General features: G+C 40.3%; 1 pseudogene; it reads right to left on the bottom strand.

Moving 5' to 3' along the window:
- Positions 1–814: 814 nt before the first annotated feature.
- Positions 815–1,695, bottom strand: GRPEL2P3 (GRPEL2 pseudogene 3; annotated as a pseudogene).

Here is a 1,919-nt window from a genome sequence, read left to right as displayed (position 1 = left end):
ATTTTCACATCGAAGTTCATCAGGGATATTGGCCTGAAATTTTCTTTTTTGTTATGTCTCTGCCAGGTTTTGGTATCAGGATGATGCTGGCCTCACAAAATTAGTTAGGGAGGAGTCCCTCTTTTTCTATTGTTTGGAATAGTTTCAGAAGGAATGGTACCAGTTCCTCTTTGTACCTCTGGTAGAATTCGGCTGTGAATCTGTCTGTTCCTGGGCTTTTTTTTGGTTGGTAGGCTATTAAGTACTGCCTCAATTTCAGAACTTGTTATTGGTCTATTTAGGGATTTGACTTCTTCCTGGTTTATTCTTGGGAGGGTGTATGTGTCCAGGAATTTATCCATTTCTTCTGGATTTTCTAGTTTATTTGCATAGAGGTGTTTATAGTATTCTCTAATGGTCGTTTGTATTTCTGTGGGATCAGTGGTGATATTCCTTTTATCATTTTTTGTTATGTCTATTTGATTCTTCTGTCTTTTTTTCTTTATTAGTCTGGCAAGTAGTCTATCTATTTTGTTAATCCTTTAAAAAAAACCAGCTCCTGGATTCATTGATTTTTTTTGAAGGGTTCTTTGTGTCTGTATCTACAACCATGAAGCTTTATCCTCTAAGTATCCAAATGTTGAACCAATCCGTGCCATCTCCTTTTTCCACAAAATACAAGATATTATACACTCTCTGTTATAGGGACCACTAGGAAGGAACATGTAGCTGAAAACATATAGTTAAAAGGATTTTGGATTCAAATTCATCAGAGTACTAATTTTCCTAAGCAGGTTTTGATAAAGGCCATTGGGACACTTGTCACACTGTTCAAATGCCGAATGGTAAGACTTCTGATGAGACCAAACAGGTCACATTAAATCAATAGAATATCTTAGAAATAAAGCCAATATGACTAAATCCAAAACATATCACATGAAGTACCTCATGTACAATACAAACCTAGTTTAATAAATAAAAGAAGCATAGGTGACTGGACTCTGGGAGAACATCCAGTTCCTGATGGCCTCTTCACAGTCTTCTCTGAGACTCCACAGCAACTTCCACCCGGGCAAGTCTAATGGTGCAGCCATGAAGTTTGTAGCCATCTGGTCTTACTAATGTCACGGTGCTAGGCTGCACCCCAACAGCAGCTGTCACATGACAGATGAGTTCATGCTCTTGGGGGTCATATTTGTCACCAATGGGTGATAGCTTCTCCAGGCCATGCTTGGCAAACACATTTTTCAGCTTTGCTTCTAAAAGTGACAACCCTCGGAAGACCTTCTCCAGAGTGAGCTTCTGGTTCCCAGGCTCTGATTCTTCAGAAATTTACTGTGTAGTCGTCTCCAAAATGTCAGCCACCTATCTTGGCATCTTCCACACATCTCTCGGTTTGCCTCCTTATGTTTTCACAATCAGCTACAGCTCTGTGCTATCTCATGGTTAAATCCTGGACTTCCTTCTCCAGTTTAACAGCTTTACCCTTAAGGCTTGTTGGGCAAGAGAGGGCCCAAGCTCATCAGGAGCGTCCTCAGAACAGCAGTCCACACCAGCAGTTATCAGGGTGGCCGTGCAGAATGGAAGCGGCCATCCCTTGCTCTCCTACAAGGCACTCGAGGCCAGTAGGTGCTGCACCTGGTGCCTGCCCACCCACAGCGACCACACGGCCATGTTCCTGACTTGGGTTGATGGAGGCAGTGCATGCGCACTTGCCCTGTAATTTTGTCTTTACAATTTTCTGTTACTTTAAAAAACACTGCAACAATAATTTTGTGTATGTGGAAAGTCTGTTGTCTAAGTTTTATATTTAGCATCTTCTCACTCTTGTCTCTAGTCTCATTTTATTCTGTAATTTTTTTCCAATCTCTATAAAATTAATGTTTATAATAAATATTATTTAAGGGTTAAATAAATTTAAGTTATATGCTCTCCTTTAC

The sequence above is a fragment of the Homo sapiens genome, chromosome 7, assembly GCF_000001405.40.
Source record: "Homo sapiens chromosome 7, GRCh38.p14 Primary Assembly".
Lineage (NCBI taxonomy): Eukaryota > Metazoa > Chordata > Mammalia > Primates > Hominidae > Homo > Homo sapiens.
The sequence above is the reverse complement of the archived record's forward strand: the minus strand, read 5'-3'. Positions and strand labels throughout refer to the sequence as shown.